The sequence below is a fragment of the Homo sapiens genome, chromosome 20 (genome assembly GCF_000001405.40).
Source record: "Homo sapiens chromosome 20, GRCh38.p14 Primary Assembly".
NCBI classification, from domain to species: domain Eukaryota; kingdom Metazoa; phylum Chordata; class Mammalia; order Primates; family Hominidae; genus Homo; species Homo sapiens.
The window spans coordinates 6056376-6074691 of record NC_000020.11 but is presented as its reverse complement, the minus strand read 5'-3'; the positions used below and the strand labels follow the sequence as shown (position 1 = coordinate 6074691).

The 18316-nt window shown below is 45.5% G+C and overlaps 1 long non-coding RNA gene across 1 annotated transcript, besides 1 other annotated feature; it reads left to right on the top strand.

Moving 5' to 3' along the window:
• Positions 258-407: a silencer, noted in NCBI's record as "silent region_12662". NCBI's record gives its function as "represses an Ori minimal core promoter by ATAC-STARR-seq in GM12878 lymphoblastoid cells {active_cell/tissue: GM12878}" and the evidence as "EXISTENCE:reporter gene assay evidence [ECO:0000049][PMID:35858748]".
• Positions 14455-15199, top strand: LOC124904865 (uncharacterized). The gene is made up of 2 exons (XR_007067512.1): positions 14455-14495; positions 14825-15199. It is a non-coding gene; the product is annotated as an uncharacterized LOC124904865 (long non-coding RNA).
• Positions 15200-18316: the final 3117 nt, after the last annotated feature.

Genomic DNA, 18316 nt, shown 5'->3' with positions numbered 1-18316 from the left:
GCAGATTCCAGGGGTCCTCAGAGAGCCCCTTAGAAACCTCACTTACCCGCTGGTTTCAACTCCTTTCTCACTGACTTGGTCACAGATTTCCTGGCATATCCTGCCTTATCATGAGCTCTTTTGTCTCTTTCCAGTTCTATATTAAAACACACACACACACACACACACCAGCAAGCAAAGATCCCCAGCGGCAATAGAACAGCAGAAGCCTCTGATTCTGATGGCTGAGTGTTGAGGGCACTTTGCTTTAGTGACATGCAGTTTATAGATATCCCTTTGTGCAATTCTCCTGTCAGCCCACAGAGGGTAGAAATGGCTTCCTCTACAAAGGAGAAAGGTTCAGAAGGTGAACTTGCCCAGGGTCACACTGCCAATGAGCAGTGTTTGTCTTGACTCCAGAAGCCACTAAGCTTAACCCAGCAAACCCCACCCTTCCTTCCCAGCCTTGCCCAGCCTTGAAATGCCCCTTACCCTAGCTCCAGAGCAGGCGTTCCTGAGCTCAGGCTCATACCAGTAAGAGAGAACCAGGGGCATTAAGAGCAGTTAGCTGTGGGAGGAGAGGCTGGACCAAAAAGGTCTGGGAGCCAGAGAAATGAGGTGCTTAGAGTGTTGTTGTTTTTTTCTTTGTTTTAATTTTTGTTTTTGTTTTTTGAGATGGAGTTTCACTCTTGTTGCCCAGGCTGGAGAGCAATGGCGTGATCTCAGCTAACCACAACCTCCGCCTCCCAGGTTCAAGCGATTCTCCTGCCTCAGCCTCCCGAGTAGCTGGGACTACAGGCATGCACCACCACGCCTGGCTAATTTTGTATTTTTTTTAGTAGAGACGGGGTTTCTGCATGTTAGTCAGGCTAGTCTTGAACTCCTGACCTCAGGTGATCCGCCTGCCTCGGCCTCCCAAAGTGCTGGGATTACAGGCGTGAGCCACCGTGCTTAATTTTGGGAAAGTTTCATTTTTAGTCCCACGGTCAGAAAAGTAAGGAAATGAGGAAGCTTTAATTTGAAAACTCATTTAATACAAGAAGTCAAGATATTTTATAATATCTGTCTTCTAAAATCACTTTAAAATTTTATTTTTAACTCACAAGATTTATTTTTGGGGGCTGGGCATAGTGGCTCACCTTGTAATCCCAGCACTTTGGGAGGCCAAGGCAGGAGGCTTACCCGAGCCCAGGAGTTCAAGACCAGCTTGGGCAACACAGCAAGACCCCATCTCTACAAAGATTTTAAAAAATTAGCTGGGCATGGTGGCACATGCCTGTAGTCCTAGCTACTTGGGAGGCTGAGATGAGAGGATCCCTTGAGCTCCAGGAGTTCAAGGTGGCAGTGAGCTATGATCATGCCATCACACTCCAGCCTCAGTGACCCTGTCTCAAAAAAAAAAAAAAAAATTGGCTTCTACATTTAGTATCTCTATATTCATTTTAATTATTTTCTCACATAGCGTGACTTTCCTGCCTCTCCCCCTTCCACTCCTGTCACCCCAGAATCTCTCAGTGGTAGGAGACAGAAAGGGAACATTCCTCTTTGTTATTTCACCCATCTTTCCTTCTCATGCACCCTACAGCCAAGGACTCTTGAGTCCAGGAAATCATAGCTGGAAAATCTGAAAAACTGAAAAAGTGAAGCCCTTGGCCCTCACTTGCTTCAAAGTTTTTCCAATTCCTTGAACCTCACTGGAGTTGTGTGGAAATATTGAGTGCTATCAGAAAGAGGGGAGGCCGGGCACGGTGGCTCACGCCTGTAATCCCAGCATTTTGGGAGGCCGAGGCAGGAGGATCACCTGAGGTCGGGAGTTCGAGACCAGCCTAACCAAAATGGAGAAACCCCGTCTCTACTAAAAATACAAAATTAGCCAGGTGTGGTGGCACCTGCCTGTAATCCCAGCTACTCGGGAGGCTGAGGCAGGAGAATCACTTGAACCTGGGAGGCAGAGATTGCGATGAGCCGAGATCACACCATTGCACTCCAGCTTGGGTGAAAGAGCGAGACTCCTCCATCTCAAAAAAACAAAAACAAAACAAACAAAACAAACAAACAAACAAAAACCGAAAAGAAAAAGCTATCCTGACATTTGCACACACATCTCATGTTGCATCAAGACTCAGTGATTGGCCGGGTGTGGTGGCTCACATCTGTAATCCCAGCATTTTGGGAAGCCAAGGCGGAAGGATTGCTTGAGCCTAGGAGTTCAAGACCAGCCTGGGCAACAGCAAGACCCTGTCTCTATTTAAAATAATCATAATAATTTTTGTAAAGGCTCAGTTATCTCAGAGGAGTCCCAATTTTTAAAAAACCTGAATGAGAATGCTCCTGACTAACACCTGTGGGGAAGATTCTTTCCACTAAAAGGATTTACCTCTTTTCTCCAACTTACTCTGTGAGCTCCAAAAACACCCATAATTCCCCATGTGCTGCAGTGTCTTCAGTCATCACAGAGGAAAAGTCCTATAGCCGCTTCTCCCTAGCCACTGCAAATGACAAAAGCTGCATGGGGACTTAACAGGATAGTGTCTCTCTTCTTCACCCCTGGAAGTTGGGCGGGGAGGCCTCTGGCTGCCCTCTGACATCCCTCAGTTGCAAAAGTGGAGCGTGGAGAGAAGGCAGAGCCCTGTGTGAGAGGAGCAGAGGATCTGGGGGAGGGAAGGGCCCAACACCCCAAGCCTGTGCCCTCTGACTCAAGAGATGTGTTGATGGACATAAATGGGGCCGGTAACAGGGAAGGCAAATTAAGTTCAAAAATATAGACAGCTATGACTGCACCACTGCACTCCAGCCCGGGCGACAAAGCACGACCCTGAGAAAATTTTATTCTCTAAAAATAAAATTTTAAAATAAATATATAAATATATATATAATATAAATAAATAAATATATATATAAAACTGTAAGGAAAGAGTAGGGCTTGCAGCAAGGCCTGGGGTCAGGGCTCAGTGCATAGGCTCTATTGCTGGTGATGGGGTAGCTGGTTTGGGCCCAGCCCCTGGCTGGTAGGGGAGGCTATTGGAAGAGAGCAAAGACCTCTTCCAGGCAGTGCTACAGAGGTCAGGAGGCAGAACTAATGGTGGGATATTCTGGGAAGCCAGGAGGGCTGGGGATGAAGGTCTGACCAGGTGCTTACAAAGGGGCCCTGAATCTCTGTGCTACCAGCTTAATTTCCTGAAATGTCACTAAAGAACCAACATTATTGGCAGCCAGCCCAGCCCATGTGACCCAATGTTATTTAAAAAGAAAAAGAAAAATGTAGCAGAACCACTGTTACCTTTCTAGGAGTTACAGACATCCAACTTCAAAATAGAAACACCCTCATTGCTATTGAGGGTGAGATACCACGCATGAAACCCACGTGGACTGCAACTCAAAGTGTGGTCCTTGGCCCAGCAGCATTTGTCAGAAAGGCAGAATCTCACAGGGCCAGGACTAGGGTGGCACAGGTGAGGCATCCCGGGCACAGCATTTAAGGAGGCCCTCACTGTCAGGGTCGTACAGGGCACCTCCTCGGCTCACCCTAATCCCAGCTCTGAGGTCCACCCAGACCTTTCTGAGTCAGAGTCTGCCTTTTAACAAGACTCTCAGCGATATGTATGCCCAGAGGAGTGTAAGAAGATCTGGCCTTAGAGATGTGGCATGGATTTGGCAGGGAGGATACCAGACACCAGAGGAATTGTCAAGAAAGAGTGTAGATGCCATAAATTCTGCCAGCCAGTGTACTGAGTTAATGGTGTCCCCCCACATTCACATCTGCACAGAACCTGTGAATGTGACCTTATGTGAAAATAGGGTCTTTGCAGATGTAATCAAGTAAAGATGAGGTCATACTGGATTAAGGTGAGTCCTAAATTCAATATGACTGGTGTCCTTAAAAAAAGGAAAAGGTAGGCTGGGGGCAGTGGCTCATGCCTGTAATCCCAGCACTTTGGGAGGCTGAGGCAGGCAGAGCACCTGAGATCAGGAGTTCGAGGCCAGCCTGACCAACATGGTGAAACCCCATCTCTACTAAAAGTACAAAACTTAGCCAGGCAAGGTGATGGGCGCCTGTAATCCCAGCTACTGGGAATCGCTTGAGGCAGGGGAATCGCTTGAACCTGGGAGGCAGAGGTTGCAGTGAGCCAAGACCGTGCCATTGCACTCCAGCTGGGCAACAAGAACAGAACTCTGTCTTAAACAAACAAACTAACTAACAAAGGAAAAGAGCAGGAAAGGCCATGTGATGATGGAGACAGAGACAGGGGTGATGCAGGTGCAGGCCAAGGAGTCCCAAAGACGGCCAGCAAACACCAGAAGCCAGGAAGAGGCAAGGACGGATCCATCCCTGCGCCCTTCAGAGACAGCATGGCCCTGCCGCCATCTTGATTTTGGACTTCTAGGCTCCAGAACTGTGGGAGAATAAATTTCTGTTTCAAGCCACAAGGCTTATGGTAATTTTGTTACACCAGTTCTAGGAAAATAATGCAGCCAGAATCTTCACATCTTTAAAAATGGGGATGCTACCTTTCCACTCTATCACTGGAAGAAACGTATGAGAGAATGGTGCAAAAATGCTTTTAAAACCATAATATGCAATACAAATGTAAAGTATTATTTTTAACAAGAACATATTTTTAATTAGAAAAATAGTTTATCAGCTTATTTTCAAATAAGTGTGATGGTTTGTGTGACAGTTTGGATCATTGTTCAGCAAATATTTTCTCCCCTCTCCTCTCCTACCATGGGTGGCACATACTACCTGCCCACTTACTGTTGGACTTGGCCGTTTGACTTCCTTTGGCCCAGAGGCTGCCACTGTGCTTTTGCAATCCTTTTGCACTCCTGCCTCCACTGTGAGAACAGGATTCCCCAGGTCATCACCTGAGCCACTGAATGGAATCCATGTAGCAGATCTAAATGGAGTCCACAGCCTGGAGCCAAGCCGAGCTAGATCAGCTGACCCACAGACAATTTGTGTGGGAACAAATTCTTGTTATTGTAAGCCACTGAGTTCTGGAGCAGTGTGTTAAGCAGCATCATTGTGGAATAGCTGACTAATGCAGGATGAGATATCCCCAAAAAGGAGAATAAGAAATCTATCCCATTCTAGCGGTATCCTAAGACACAGCTGATGGCATTTCAGAGTGTGTCTTTCTCATCTTTATACCATCCTGTCTCCTGGTTTTTGTTTTTGTATTTTAATAAGCTATCTATTAAGCCATTTGAAATTCATGGAAATTGGCCAGGCACAGTGGCTCACGCCTGTAATCCCAGCACTTTGGGAGGCCAAGGCAGGTGGATCACCTGAGGTCAGGAGTTCAAGATCAGCCTGACCAACATGGAGAAACCCCATCTCTACTAAAAATACAAAAATTAGCCAGGCGAAGTGGAGCGCACCTGTAATCCCAGCTACTTGGGAGGCTGAGACAGGAGAATCACTTGAACCTGGGAGGTGGAGGTTGCAGTGAGCTGAGACCATGCCATTGTAGTCCTCCATTGATTACAGTCCATCTCCACCACAATCAGGTCAAGATATATCCCCGACTCAGGTGTAATAATCTGGGACCTTTGTATCATGCATGTGTTTTCTTCAGAGACTCCGGTGTCTCTCTGCCAACACAACCCCATTATTCCGGCCATGCCATCAGGTTAAATAATTTGCTGAATTTCAGGGTAGGTTGACAGGTTGCCATAGCAGTCAAATAGGCCCCAGGAGCAACAGGGATACCAAAATGGTAAGTGGCTTTGCAAACCAATGATAGAGCAAGTGAAATCAGCTCCCACCTCTCCAAAAAGCAGTCTCAACAATAATATAGCAAACATTTACATGGCTAAAAGAATTAGAAAACTCGTGTGTATTAAGGGCTATCACTTTTGTCTCCTATGAGTTCTCTCAATTCATCCCCTAGGTGAGGAAGGTATTATCAGCCCATTGTACAAAGTAGAAAACATGCAGTGGTGCACTGGTAAATGTTTACAACTCTGTGGACTGGGGAAACACTGATTTGCCAATTCCCATGGTATAAAGATTCCCACCACAGCCAACATGATGTCAGTGAACACAGAGTTGGGAAGAAATGCAAACATCCGTCTTTCCAGTGGGGATAAACCAGCTCCAGCACACATCGGAACTGTGCACAGAGAGGTCAAGCAACTTGTCAAAGTCACTCAGCTAGTATGTGGGAAGCAAGGATTTGTATGAAAATCTTCTGACTTGAGCTTGCTCCTCAACACTACTCTTGATTTCCCATGAGAAGGCAAGGCCTCCGGAGCCAAGGACCCTAGATAGTCTTTACTCGTGACAATGTCCTTGAGTTGATTTTTCTCAGAACATGTTTGAGTAAGACCTACAGAACTCCATAGACACTTTTTTCTTCCAATTACTTTACACTAGGTTTCAAATGCCAAAATAGTGAAAATTTCTGCTAAAAAGTTCTCAGATTCCCACTGTTGGTCCAATGTAACGTTTGCTTGCAAATCTGGGTGAGAGGTGGAGTTAAGAAGGGGAGGAAAGGGTTCTGCCTTTTTTCCCGACAAAGACGACACCAAACCAGAGGACTTTCCACCCCTACAACTGGTTGGCCCAACTCTCACTAGTGTGTGGCAATCGTTGGTGCCAAGTCCTACCAGAGAGAGGTGACTTTTCCTAAGGGACTGAGTTCTGTTTCTAGAGGCTGCATGAAATGTTTTTACCCTGACCTTTTCCTCCTTTTATAAGGTTCTTTTAATCAGGTAGACATCAGGAGAGCAAACAGGCAGCCAACACTTGGCAAGAACCTGCTGAATCCATTGCATGTAACTCAAGCAAAGTTCACCCTTTTAAGATAAGGGGCTGCACATGTTACTGTGTGTTGGGGTAAGAAACATACATGGGCACAGTTGGTCAGATATGAGACCACAGGGATTTGTGAGGCATGCCCTTAGTATTCATGATTATGGTTTTTGCTTTGTTTTGTTTGAGATGGGGTCTCATTCTGTCACCCAGGCTGGAGTGCAGCAGTGCCATCTCAGCTCACTGCAACCTCCACCTCTACGCTCAAGCAATCCTCCCACCTCAGCCTCCCAAGTAGCTGAGACCACAGGCACGCACCACCACACCTGGCTAATTTTTTGTGATTTTGGTAGAGACAGGGTTTCGCCATGTTGCCCAGACTGGTCTTGAACTCCTGAGCTCAGGAGATCCACTGGCCTCAGCCTCCCAAGGTGCTAGGGTTATAGGCATGAGCCACCGCACCCGGCCATTTATATATGGCATGAGCCACTGTGCCATACCTAAAATCAGCTGCTGCAGAACTAAAATGAGCAGATTGCAATTGTGGCCAACACCATTTTTTACCCAAAACCATTTTCCCATCTTCCTTGCTAACAGAACTTGATTTGGGCTGAATCAATGTGTCCAGATCAGTGATAGATCTACACTGGTCTATGCCAATTATGACAATCTTATTCCCTAACTGATCAGCTTCCTTTGTAGGTTGGCGGGGCCGGGGAGGGGCCATGGGATCCAATTCTGACCAATGAGGCCTAAGGGGAAGTATGCTTTGGAGATTTCTGGGAAAGATTTTTCTATCCTAACAAAAGGGAAAGTCAGCTGACGTCACCCTTCACCTTCCTATTCTTCCTGCCTTGAATGTGGATGTGACTTTTTGTTATGTAAGAAAAATAAATGAATGTATTTAAGCCATTGTTAGGTAGGGTTTCTGTACCTCATAGCTGAACGCATTTCTAACTGATAGTGGTGAGCAATGAACAAGTGAATTTTACAGTAATGGAGCAGAGGGTCAAGTTGACCCTACAATCTTTAGCTTGACTAATTGAATGACTGGAAGCCCAATTGGTAGATAAATATAAAGAGTGTCAGAAGGAGGAGAGGTCAGAGCACATAGATAAGTTTTATTTGGGTGACTCTAAGACCTCAGTCATGCCTGACATAATGGGATTCTGTGACGCATGTGTGTGGACCTTTGCAATGGAGCTGCTCAGAACATCGTTGGAACCCCCCTTTGGAAATTCTCAGCAAAGCCTGATTCACCTTCTCTGTAATTTCCTCACTGTCGATGATTTTTCAGTACTTTCATGGGGGGTTGATTTTTGGAAATATCTGAGACTAAGTAAGGTGCATTATGAGATTAGGATAAATAAAATATTTGGGTGAGTGATTTAATAAATAAACATAATCCTGATAATTGTAGAGTGTGTGTGTGTGTGTGTGTGTGTGCGCACGCGTGTATCAGAAACTCCTCCTGAAAGCAATTCCAGAACATGAATTACAAACATGTTTTTAACACTGGAAGCATCATTTGCAAAAATATTTCACTTAACTAAGTAATTTTGCTGAAGACTGACTTTTGCCAAATAATCTTTTTTATCTCTCTTAAAAGTTGGCAATCCAAACATTCTCTCAAGTAAAACAAGCAAGTATTCTCCATGTTCTCAATACTCCTCCCTCAGAAATGGTCTCAGAGTTCTCATCTTGGGTCCTTTATCAGATTTACTTTATGAAATTGAATATAATTTCTGCAGCAATAAAATGGAAATAATAGCATTTGCCTCCCTCCTAAAGAAATGTGGTGAACAAGAGTTGGTCAGCAACACCTAGAATCTGGAGTATCTCTCATGGGTTCCATAAATAGTTGGCATAATTAATAATTGCTAGTAAAGAGATTGTGTTATTAATATATTACTGAGGATTAATAATCATGTATTATAATCTTTCCAGAAATGACAAAATGTCATCACTATTAAAATCTTCTTCAAAAAAATACCTAATGTTCCAATTCTCTGAGATTACTGTCCTACCCTCTTTTCTTCTCAACCCTCCACATCCGCCCCTCAGCTGTTGAGCTCACCTGCACATTATCGAGCAGCATGAAGTTATCATATGGGAACAGCCTCATCTTTTCACTGTGCACCTGTCCTCGCCATATCTTATTTTCTTCTGTTTCAGTGAGGAGTGCCTTCAGAGTATTATCCCCTTGTGGCCTCTGAAGGACTTTATTCCTGCAGTTTCCTCTTCTCTCTTCTGCATCATTCACCTCCCCCCACTCCCCAGTGCCTTCTCATCTAATCTGTAAACATATTCTGTATCTGTGGGGGTTTAAACATGGCTGCAAATTCCTTGACAGTCTTCCCATCAAGAGGGAGGATCTGGCAGGGCACGGTGGCTCATGCCTGTAAAGCCAGCACTTTGGGAGGCCGAGGCGGGAGGATCACTTGAGGTCAGGAGTTCGAGCCCAGCCTGGCCAACATGGCAAAACCCCGTCTCTACTAGAAATACAAAAAATTAGCTGGGCATGGTGGCGTGCACCTGTAATCCCAGCTATGAGGGAGGCTTAGGTGGGAGAATCGTTTGAACCCGGGAGGCTGAGGTTGCAGTGAGCCGAGATTGCACCACTGCACTCCAGACTGGGTGACAGAGCAAGACTCTGTCAAAAAAAAAAGAAAAAAAAAGGAGGTATCTACGTCCCCACTAATTAAATCCGGGGGGTGGAGGGGTTGTGGCTAGATTGACCAATAGAGTACAGCAAAAGGGATACTATGTGACCTCCATGCATAGGTCATGAAAGGCCAAGCAGCATCTGTCCTGTGCTGGAGCACTCCCTCACAGAGCCCTGAGACCACTTTGCAAGAACTTCAATTACCCTGAGGCCGCCATGCTAGAGAAGTCACATGTCTGCACTCCAGTCGATAGTCCTGGTGGAGCCTAGCCTTCTAGTCATCCCCATCAAGGTGCCAGGCATGTGAGTGAAGCCACCTTAAACCCTCAAACCAGCCCTTTCAACAGCTGACTACCAGCAATGACCCCAGTCAATGCTGCAAGAAGCAAAACAATCATCTAGGGGGGCGCTAACCAAATTCCTAACCCACAAAATAACGGAATCAAATACAGCAGGTCCTCAAATCATATTGTTTTATTCAATATCATTTTCTTATAATGTGGATGAGAAAAAAAAATTGGTCTACTGTCTCTGTGAAGTTTGCAGGTTCTCCCCATGTCTACGTGGGTTTTCTCCAGGCATTCTGGTTTCCTTTCACGTCTCAAAGCTGTGTATATCAAGTTCATTGGCGTGTCTACATGGTTCAAGTCTGAGTGAGTGTGTATGCGTGTCTGAACGCACCCTGCAATGGGATGGCATCCTGCCCAGGGCTGGTTCCAGCCTTGCACCCTGAGCTGCTAGGATAGGCTCTGACCACCTGCTACCCTGAACTGGAATAAGCAGGTAAATAATGATCTTGTTTTTATTAATCTTTCTTAAATATAAAATATATGTATAGCTCACATTTATTTTATTTATTTATTTTGAGACGGAGTCTTGCCCTGTCACCTGGGCTGGAGTGCCGTGGCACGATCTTGGCTCACTGCAACCTCTGCCTCCCAGGTTCAAGTGATTCTCCTGCCTCAGCCTCCCAAGTAGCCAGGATTACAGGCACCCGCCACCACGCCCGGGTAATTTCTTGTATTTTTAGTAGGGACGGGGTTTCACTATGTTGACCGGGCTGGTCTCAAACTCCTGACCTCATGATCTGCCCACCTCGGCCTCCCAAAGTGCTGGGATTACAGGCATGAACCACCGCACCAGGCCGTTTATTTTAATATTTAACATTAGAAGTGTTTTGGTCTTTATTTATAAGGTTTGGTGATGTTTTCGTGACCATAAATATGCCACAGGAGCCTAACTCTTGTTTATATCAATTCACCTATAGTAAAATTGGTTTCATGATACATGGCTTCATTCAAAGTCACAGTTTCCAAGAACCTATCAACAACGTTAAGTGACGATGTACTGAATAATGACTTGTTTTAAGCCACTAAGTTTTGGGATACTTGTCAGCAAGAAATAATCACAACAACGTCCCCCACCTTAAATAGTTTTTAAACTCTACCTCGCCCTATTCTTCTGCTCCATCTCACCCTAAAGCTTCTCCAGAGAGTTAAGAAGGCTAACACACACTTTCCCGTGTCCTAACTCACTCCTCTCCTGCTTCAGTCTCAACCCCTCAGTAGACCCTGCTCTTGTCCAGGTCATAAATGTCTCCTCTTATTTAGTCTCTAAAAACCTGATCAGCCATGCTTTCCTCAATGAAACAGGCCTCTCCCCTTTCATGGTATCAAACTTTCGTGAGTTTTCTTCTATCTCCCTGACTGCTCCTTCTCATCCACCTCAGCTCATTCCTCCTCCTCTGCCCACCTTCAAAGGATAGAATGATAGCTTAATCCCCTTCTCTTCCGTCTCTACTCACCTTCCCTAGGTGACCTCAACCCGTCTATTGGCTTTAAGCACCATCTCACTCTGATGCCTCCCAAATGTAGCCCCAGCTCTCCCCTGAATTCCAGAGCTGGATGGCCAATTGTCTCCTCAACACTTTGAGTGCACTGTGAGTGCAGTGCAATCACAGCTCACTGCAGCCTCAACCTCCCACCTCAGCCTCTCAAGTAGCTGGAACCACAGGCATGTACCACCATGCCTGGCTAATTTTTAAACTTTTTGTACAGACAGGGTCTCTCTATCTTACCCAGGCTGGTCTTAAACTCCTGGGCTCAAGTGATCTTCCCACCTTGGCCTCCCAAAGTATTGGGATTACAGGCATGAGCTACCATGCCCGGCCTTCCTTCTGTCTTCACATTGCCTTCTCTGTAGTAAGTTCTCCCTCTTCCTCCCTCTTATAAGAATAGTAGTGATTATAGGACAGGCGGGGTGGCTGACACCTGTAATCCCAGCACTTTGGGAGGCTGATGTGGGCGGATCACCTGAGGTCAGGAGTTCAAGACCAGCCTGACCAACATGGAGAAGCCCTGTCTCTATTAAAAATACAAAATTAGCTGGGCGTGGTGGCGGCGCATGCCTGTAATCCCAGCTACTCGGGAGGCTGCGGCAGAAGAATCGCTTGAGCCTGGAAGGTGGAGGTTGTGGTGAGCTGAGATTGCGCCATTGCACTCCAGCCTGGGCAACAAGAGCAAAACTCTGTCTCAAAAAAAAAAAAAAAAAAAAAAAAAAAAAAAAGAACAGTAGTGATTACATTCAGGGCCCACAGGGATAATCACCTTATCTCAAGGTCTTTACTTTAATCATACACACAAAATTCCTTTTACTATATAAGATAACATTTACATGTTCCAGGGACTAACACATGGATGTCTTTGGGGACTATTATTCAGCCTAACACACCTCACTTCCAATCCACCAACAGATCCTGTTGATTCTACTTTCAAAACATATTTCAAATCCGTGTACTTGTCTTCGCCTTTACTGTCATTACTCTCAGGGCAACATCACCACCTCCCCCCATGGGCATTTTCAACAGCTTCCTAATGTAACTCTCCAGCTTTGCTTTTGCCTGCAATCCACACAGCAACAAGGGCATCTCAAACATAGCAGGCTCTTTCTTGCTATTGCCTGGAACATAATTCCCATGGCCCCGTGCATGACAGCTCCCTCTCATCCTCAGGTCTCAGTTCAAATAAAGTCACCCTTCTTGATGACCATCTCCACTCTCCTTTCCAATTCCTTTATGTCACATCACCCTGTTTATTTCCTTTATAACTCTAATTGCAATCTATAATTACCTACTATGCACCCACAGAAATTAAAAAATTTTAAATAAATAAAAATTTAAAAATCCATAATGACCGTGTTCATTTATTTGCATATTGTCTGTGTTCCCCAACAGAATGAGAGCTCCTTGAGAGGAGGGACTATGCCTGCTCTGGCATTTAGAACAGTATCTAGCACAGAGCAGCATTCAACGTGATGAGTGAATGAATAAATGAACCTATGAACGTGACACTGTAATCAAGGCCTGTGTCAGTCCAAATAAACAGGTTATGCTGTGGTAACAAGCACCCAAAAACCACAAAGTTTTATCTCTCATACTATCTATGCAATGTGATCAGCCCTGGGGGAGCTCGGGTCTTCCTAGGGATCCAGGCTGATGGAGCAACCACCATCAAATAGTGGCAACTGGCATGCCAGTGAGGAAGACAGAGCTCTGGAGGGCCTCATACTAACAATTGGATGGCATTGTCTGGAAGTGACACACATCACTTCCTGTTGCAAATCATTGGCCAGAACAAAACGTGGAAACATGGCCCCACCCACCCACAAAGGGCCAGGCAGTACAATCCTACCAGTAGCCAAAAGAGGCAAAACCTGAAGTATATGGCCAATAGCCCTGATGACTACCACAGAGCCTTTCACAGAATGACCCCAAATAACCTTTCCAATCTCTCCTCCCTACACTCCTCCTCCATGGCCCCCACATCCTCCCACCCCCCCCCCCCACCATACTGAACTACCTGTTTGCTCAACACACCACGCCTTGTCAAGCCTCCATTTCTTTCACATACTGGGCCCTCTGCCTGGGATGCTCTTAAAAGATAACCACTATTCTGACCACTGATTTAGAACGGGAATTCCCTCTGCCTGGGATGCTGTTAAGAGGTAACCATTATTCTGACCATTGATTAGTTTTGCCTGTTCTTGAATTTCATAAAAATAAACCCATATAGTATGTACTCTTTTGTGTTTGGCTAAGAGATTCATCTGTGTTGTTAAGCATGGCATAGTTCATTCTTTTTTGTGGCTGTATAGTAACCCGTTGTATGACTATACCATGATTTACATATCAGTTTTTCTATTGATAGCCTTTTGGGTTGTTTCCATTTTGGAGCATTTATAAAGTTGCTATAAACATTCTTTTGGTGGCTATACACACTCATTTCTCTTGAGTATAAACCCAGGAGTGTAATTTCTGAGTAATAGGGTAGACATATGCCTAGCATTCATAGAGACTGCCAAGAAGTTTTCCAAAGTAGCTATACCATTTGACATTCCCACCAGCAGCATATGAGTTCTAGCCAGGCACCATTTAAGCCCAGGAGTTTGAGATTAGCCTGGACAACATAGTGAGACCCCCACCTCAAAAAAAGTTACATTTGCTCCACAACCTTGGCAACATTTGATATTGTCAATCTTTTGAATTTTGGCCATTCTGGTGGGTGTACTATAGTATCTCATTATGGCTTAAATTTGCATTTCAGTGGTAAATAATGATGTTGAGCATATGCTCCTATACTTATTGAACAGCATGCATTTTTTCATTCAACAAAATGTTCCTGAACATCCACAATGCATCTGCACGTTTCTATAGCAATGGGGAATAAATAACACTCGAGCTCCACAAGATTCCAAATCATTGCTTTGTTTGTCAAGCACTTCTATTTTTGAAAGAATTTTCGTTAACATATTAGAAATCTAAATAAATGCACAGACAAACCCCGACTGCTCTTCTGAAGAAAATTCCAAATAAGGAAATGTAACTGATCAGAAACAGGAGAAGGAGAGGGCACAGTCACACTCATTCATTCAGTAAATCTGTCTCTCTCTCTCTCTTTTTTTTTTTTTTTGTGAGACAGAGTTTTGCTCTTGTTATCCAGCTGGAGTGCAACGGTGCAATCTCAGCTCACTGCAACCTCCACCTCCTGGGTTCAAGCGATTCTCCTGCCTCAGCCTCCTGAGTAGATGGGATTACAGGTGAGTGCCACCACACCCAGTCAATTTTTTGTATTTTAGTAGAGATGAGGTTTCACCATGCTGGCCAGGCTCGTCTCCAACTCCTGACCTCAGGTGATCTACCCGCCTCGGCCTCCCAAAGTGCTAGGATTACAGGTGTGAGCCACCGCGCCCAGCCCAGTAAATCTCTCTTAAGCATCTATGGTGTGCAGTTGCTGCCAGATACTCAGATGCAGCAGTGAACAAGTTAGACATAATTTCTGGATGAACAGAGCTCACAGTTCAACTTTTTGTGATGTGCTGTGTGCTCACACTGTGCATGATTTTTTTCTGTCTTCCATCCCTTCTAGGCTGGGAACTGCTTGAGGGAAGGGTCCAAGCCTTGTTCATCTCTGAGCCCCCGTGTTATCTCCTGAGCACCTGGGTCGTACACTAGCATGGTCTCAAGATACATGTGCTGAACTGCTAAGCCAATTCATTTACTTTACAGATGAAAAATAAGAAATAGACAGAAGCTTAAGAACACAGACACTGTACCCAGAAAGATGGTAGCGGTGTCGGAATGAGAATCCAGCGTCTTGTGTCCCAGTTAAGGTCCTTTTCCCCTAGTATGCTGCCTCTGGCTGTGGTAAATTCCAGAATATAATTTGTAAATTTTCCTATCCACTGTCCCATCCCACTTCCTAAAGTCACATGCAAAATAAAGTGGCAGGTTAGAGTCTGAACTCACATTTCTGTTTGAATCTTTTCCACTATGGATTTTAAAAGGATCTCAAATGGTATCTTCTAAAATTCTAAGCATTCTATCAATCCTCATGCTGAAATATGACTTGGTGAGTGACACTTCAAAAAGAAAATAAACATGCGTCTCAACCCATTACTACTTTATTTCCTCCAGATCATTTCCTCACAGGCAGGGCAGCCACGTCAGTGAACCCACTCAGATATCTTGGTTTCTACCACTTGGAAGCCTCTTTTCTACATTCCATTTTGGGAGAGAGCTGGCTCTTCCCGGAGACTTGACAACCTGGTACCGTCTCCTCCCACAATCACCCTCCCATTCTTCTGGCTTATCTCTGGTGTCAGAGAAGAATGTAATCTTTAGGCGTGTACATTCTGACTCCCATGTTTTGGGGAAGACCCCTCAGCGTAGCTGACTGGCATCTGGAGAGCAGGGCAGGGGCAGCTGGCCAAGCAGTCACCTGTCACCTGGGCCAGCCCTCATCACCCCATTGCAGGCTGCAAGAGTTGTAAAGAGAGCTGGACAGGACTCACTTAGAAGATACCAATTCTGGGTCTCTGGGGCAGTCTGTATTGGGAGTAATTATTCCTGGAGTTCTGGGGGTAAATGGGAACAGCTGGAGTCAGAGCCCCTGAAACCGCTCTGTGGCTTGATGCTTGCCAGGTGTGTTTACTTAGCCATACCTTCAGGGAAAGACTCACATTGCTAATATCAGGGCAGGTGAGACCTGGTTAGCTGTGCAAATAAACCCAGAGCCAGAGTGAAACAGTGAGAATTAGATCGCCTTTGCTTTTCACTGGGTAATTAGGAACTCAACACTGTGTGACCTCAGACAAGCCAATTTCTCTCTCTGGGGCTCAGTTTTCTCCTAAAATCGACAAGGAGGGATGGGACCAGACAACTTCTAAAGTTCTTTCTAAGGCCAAAGATCCATGACTCTGATTTTTATCTAAATCCATAAAAGTGTGGCCAAGTATATAATTACTGGCTCTTTTTTCCCCCTGCTGCTATAGTTTTACTGTCTAACCTTGTAATCTTCCAACAGATTTTTTCTCTCAAAGATCCTAAGAATGTGGGGAATCTGAATTGGAAGGTTTTCTGGGACTCAATTTTCTACCTCCACTTTTGCTCACTCCTCCGTCTCAACTCTCATCTTAGCCCTTCTCAATGCTGGGATGCTGGAGGACTTGAGCTGTGAATTTCAGGAACTTGAATTTGATTTTTACTGTTTTGAGTCCTGCCCCATCCACTCCTGGGAATTGTGAAGAACACCATGATCCTCCATGTACACTGTCATACCTTTTCCCATTCATTTGTCAGAACATTTCTCCTGTGTGCCAGACACCACCCCAGGCACTAGGGCTAGGAAATAAACCATGCGGCTCTGTTATCAGGAAGTTTAGTCCTAAACTACAGAATGAGCCACATCAATCTGCTTGATGAAAGGTAGCCAATGTTACCTAGGAAAGAATACCAAGGAAGGCACTTAATTCGCCTGGGGGCATCCGCTTGGGTGAAATCTTGAAGGATGCTATAGCAGGTGCTGTCAGTGCCTACCCTATCCCCTTAGCCCTCCATGGAGTTGCTTGATCTATGTGCCAGGAAGTTAAAGCCACAGAAGAACCCTCAAACCAACAAAAAGCAGAAGCTGGTGGATAGATATCCCCTCTTCCTTGCCACTTAATGGAACAATCCTGAGGTATGCTCTACACAGTCTTACAGAGGCCCCCAGCAAGATGAGGCCCCCAGCAAGATGGAGCCCCAGTTGTCCATGGCAGTCTCTGCTCATCAACACATCATCAGTGCCTTTCCTTCCCTGTCTCACTTCCTTATTCCATCTCCGCACTCCTTGAGATCGCCTCCCAAATAAATTATGGGTATGGCACCCAGGTGTATATTTCAGGGTCTCCTTTCAAGAGGGCCCACGCTAGTTATAAAAAAAATTAGCTGAAATAGAGACTAAGGCAATAAAATGGGGGGCATCCAGGCAGAGGAACAGCTACAGTAAAACCATGGAGGGCAAGCATGGCACAGCACTTGGCGTGGCATTTGAAGGACGCATATTTGTTGGTTCCAGGATTGTGTTGCAAGACCTTAGCATTCTTCTCTGGAGAGGACAAACACTTTAGTCCTCTTGTCCTGACCTCCAAGAAGTGCTAGAAGAGGAGAAAAGGCTGGAAAAGAGGGCTGAGCCTCCCTGAGAGGTGCCTGGTAGGCCCTACCCAGTCATCCTCTTCAGTCTTGGGCCCACAGTGACCCAAGAAGTCAGCCCTGTGTATTTTGAGAATGAGCTGCTCAACTATGGCAGGAAATTTCCCAGTGTCTTGGCTTCTCACACAATTTGGGTCTAAGTATTTGGAGAAGATTCTCTTGTGCTTAAGGGCATATTATAGTATCAGATGCTGAGGTCTATGGAAGGCAATGTAAGACAGTGGTTTGGCCAGGCGCAGTGGCTCATGCCTGTAATCCCAGCACTTTGGGAGGCCAAGGCGGGTGGATCACTTGAGGCCAGGAGTTCAAGATCAGCCTGGTCGACATGGCAAAACCCCGTCTCTAGTAAAAATAGCCCCTAAAAATTAGCCAGGCGTGATGGCGCATGCCTGTAATCCCAGCTACTTGGGAGGCTGAGGCATGAGAATCGCTTGAACCTGGGAGGTGGAGGTTGCAGTGAGCCACAGCTGCACCACTGCACTCCAGCCTGGGTAACAGAGGGAGACTGTGTCTCGAAAAAAAAAAAAAAAAGACGTGGTTAAATCACATAGCTCACTCCATATGTGCTCCAGAATCTAGAGCACAAAAACCTTTGCGAGCCTCAGTTTCTTCGTCTGTAATATAATAGTAAGTACCTGGGGAGGATTAGACGAGACTATGCATATGGCATTAGGCTCTGACTATAGTAACTGCTCAGTTTTTAAAAAGGAGATGATGAAGCTAAGCAGAGTGGACTACCCACTGGGGCAAGGCCAACTGACTGCCCCAGAAAGACCGATAAGCAAACCCTGCCATGTACGGTCTGCCATCAGCCTCCCCAGCTCAGAAGCCGCACGGGGCAGCCTGCCAAGGATGTGTGTGCTAGGGCTGGGTATGACCAGGGAAACAG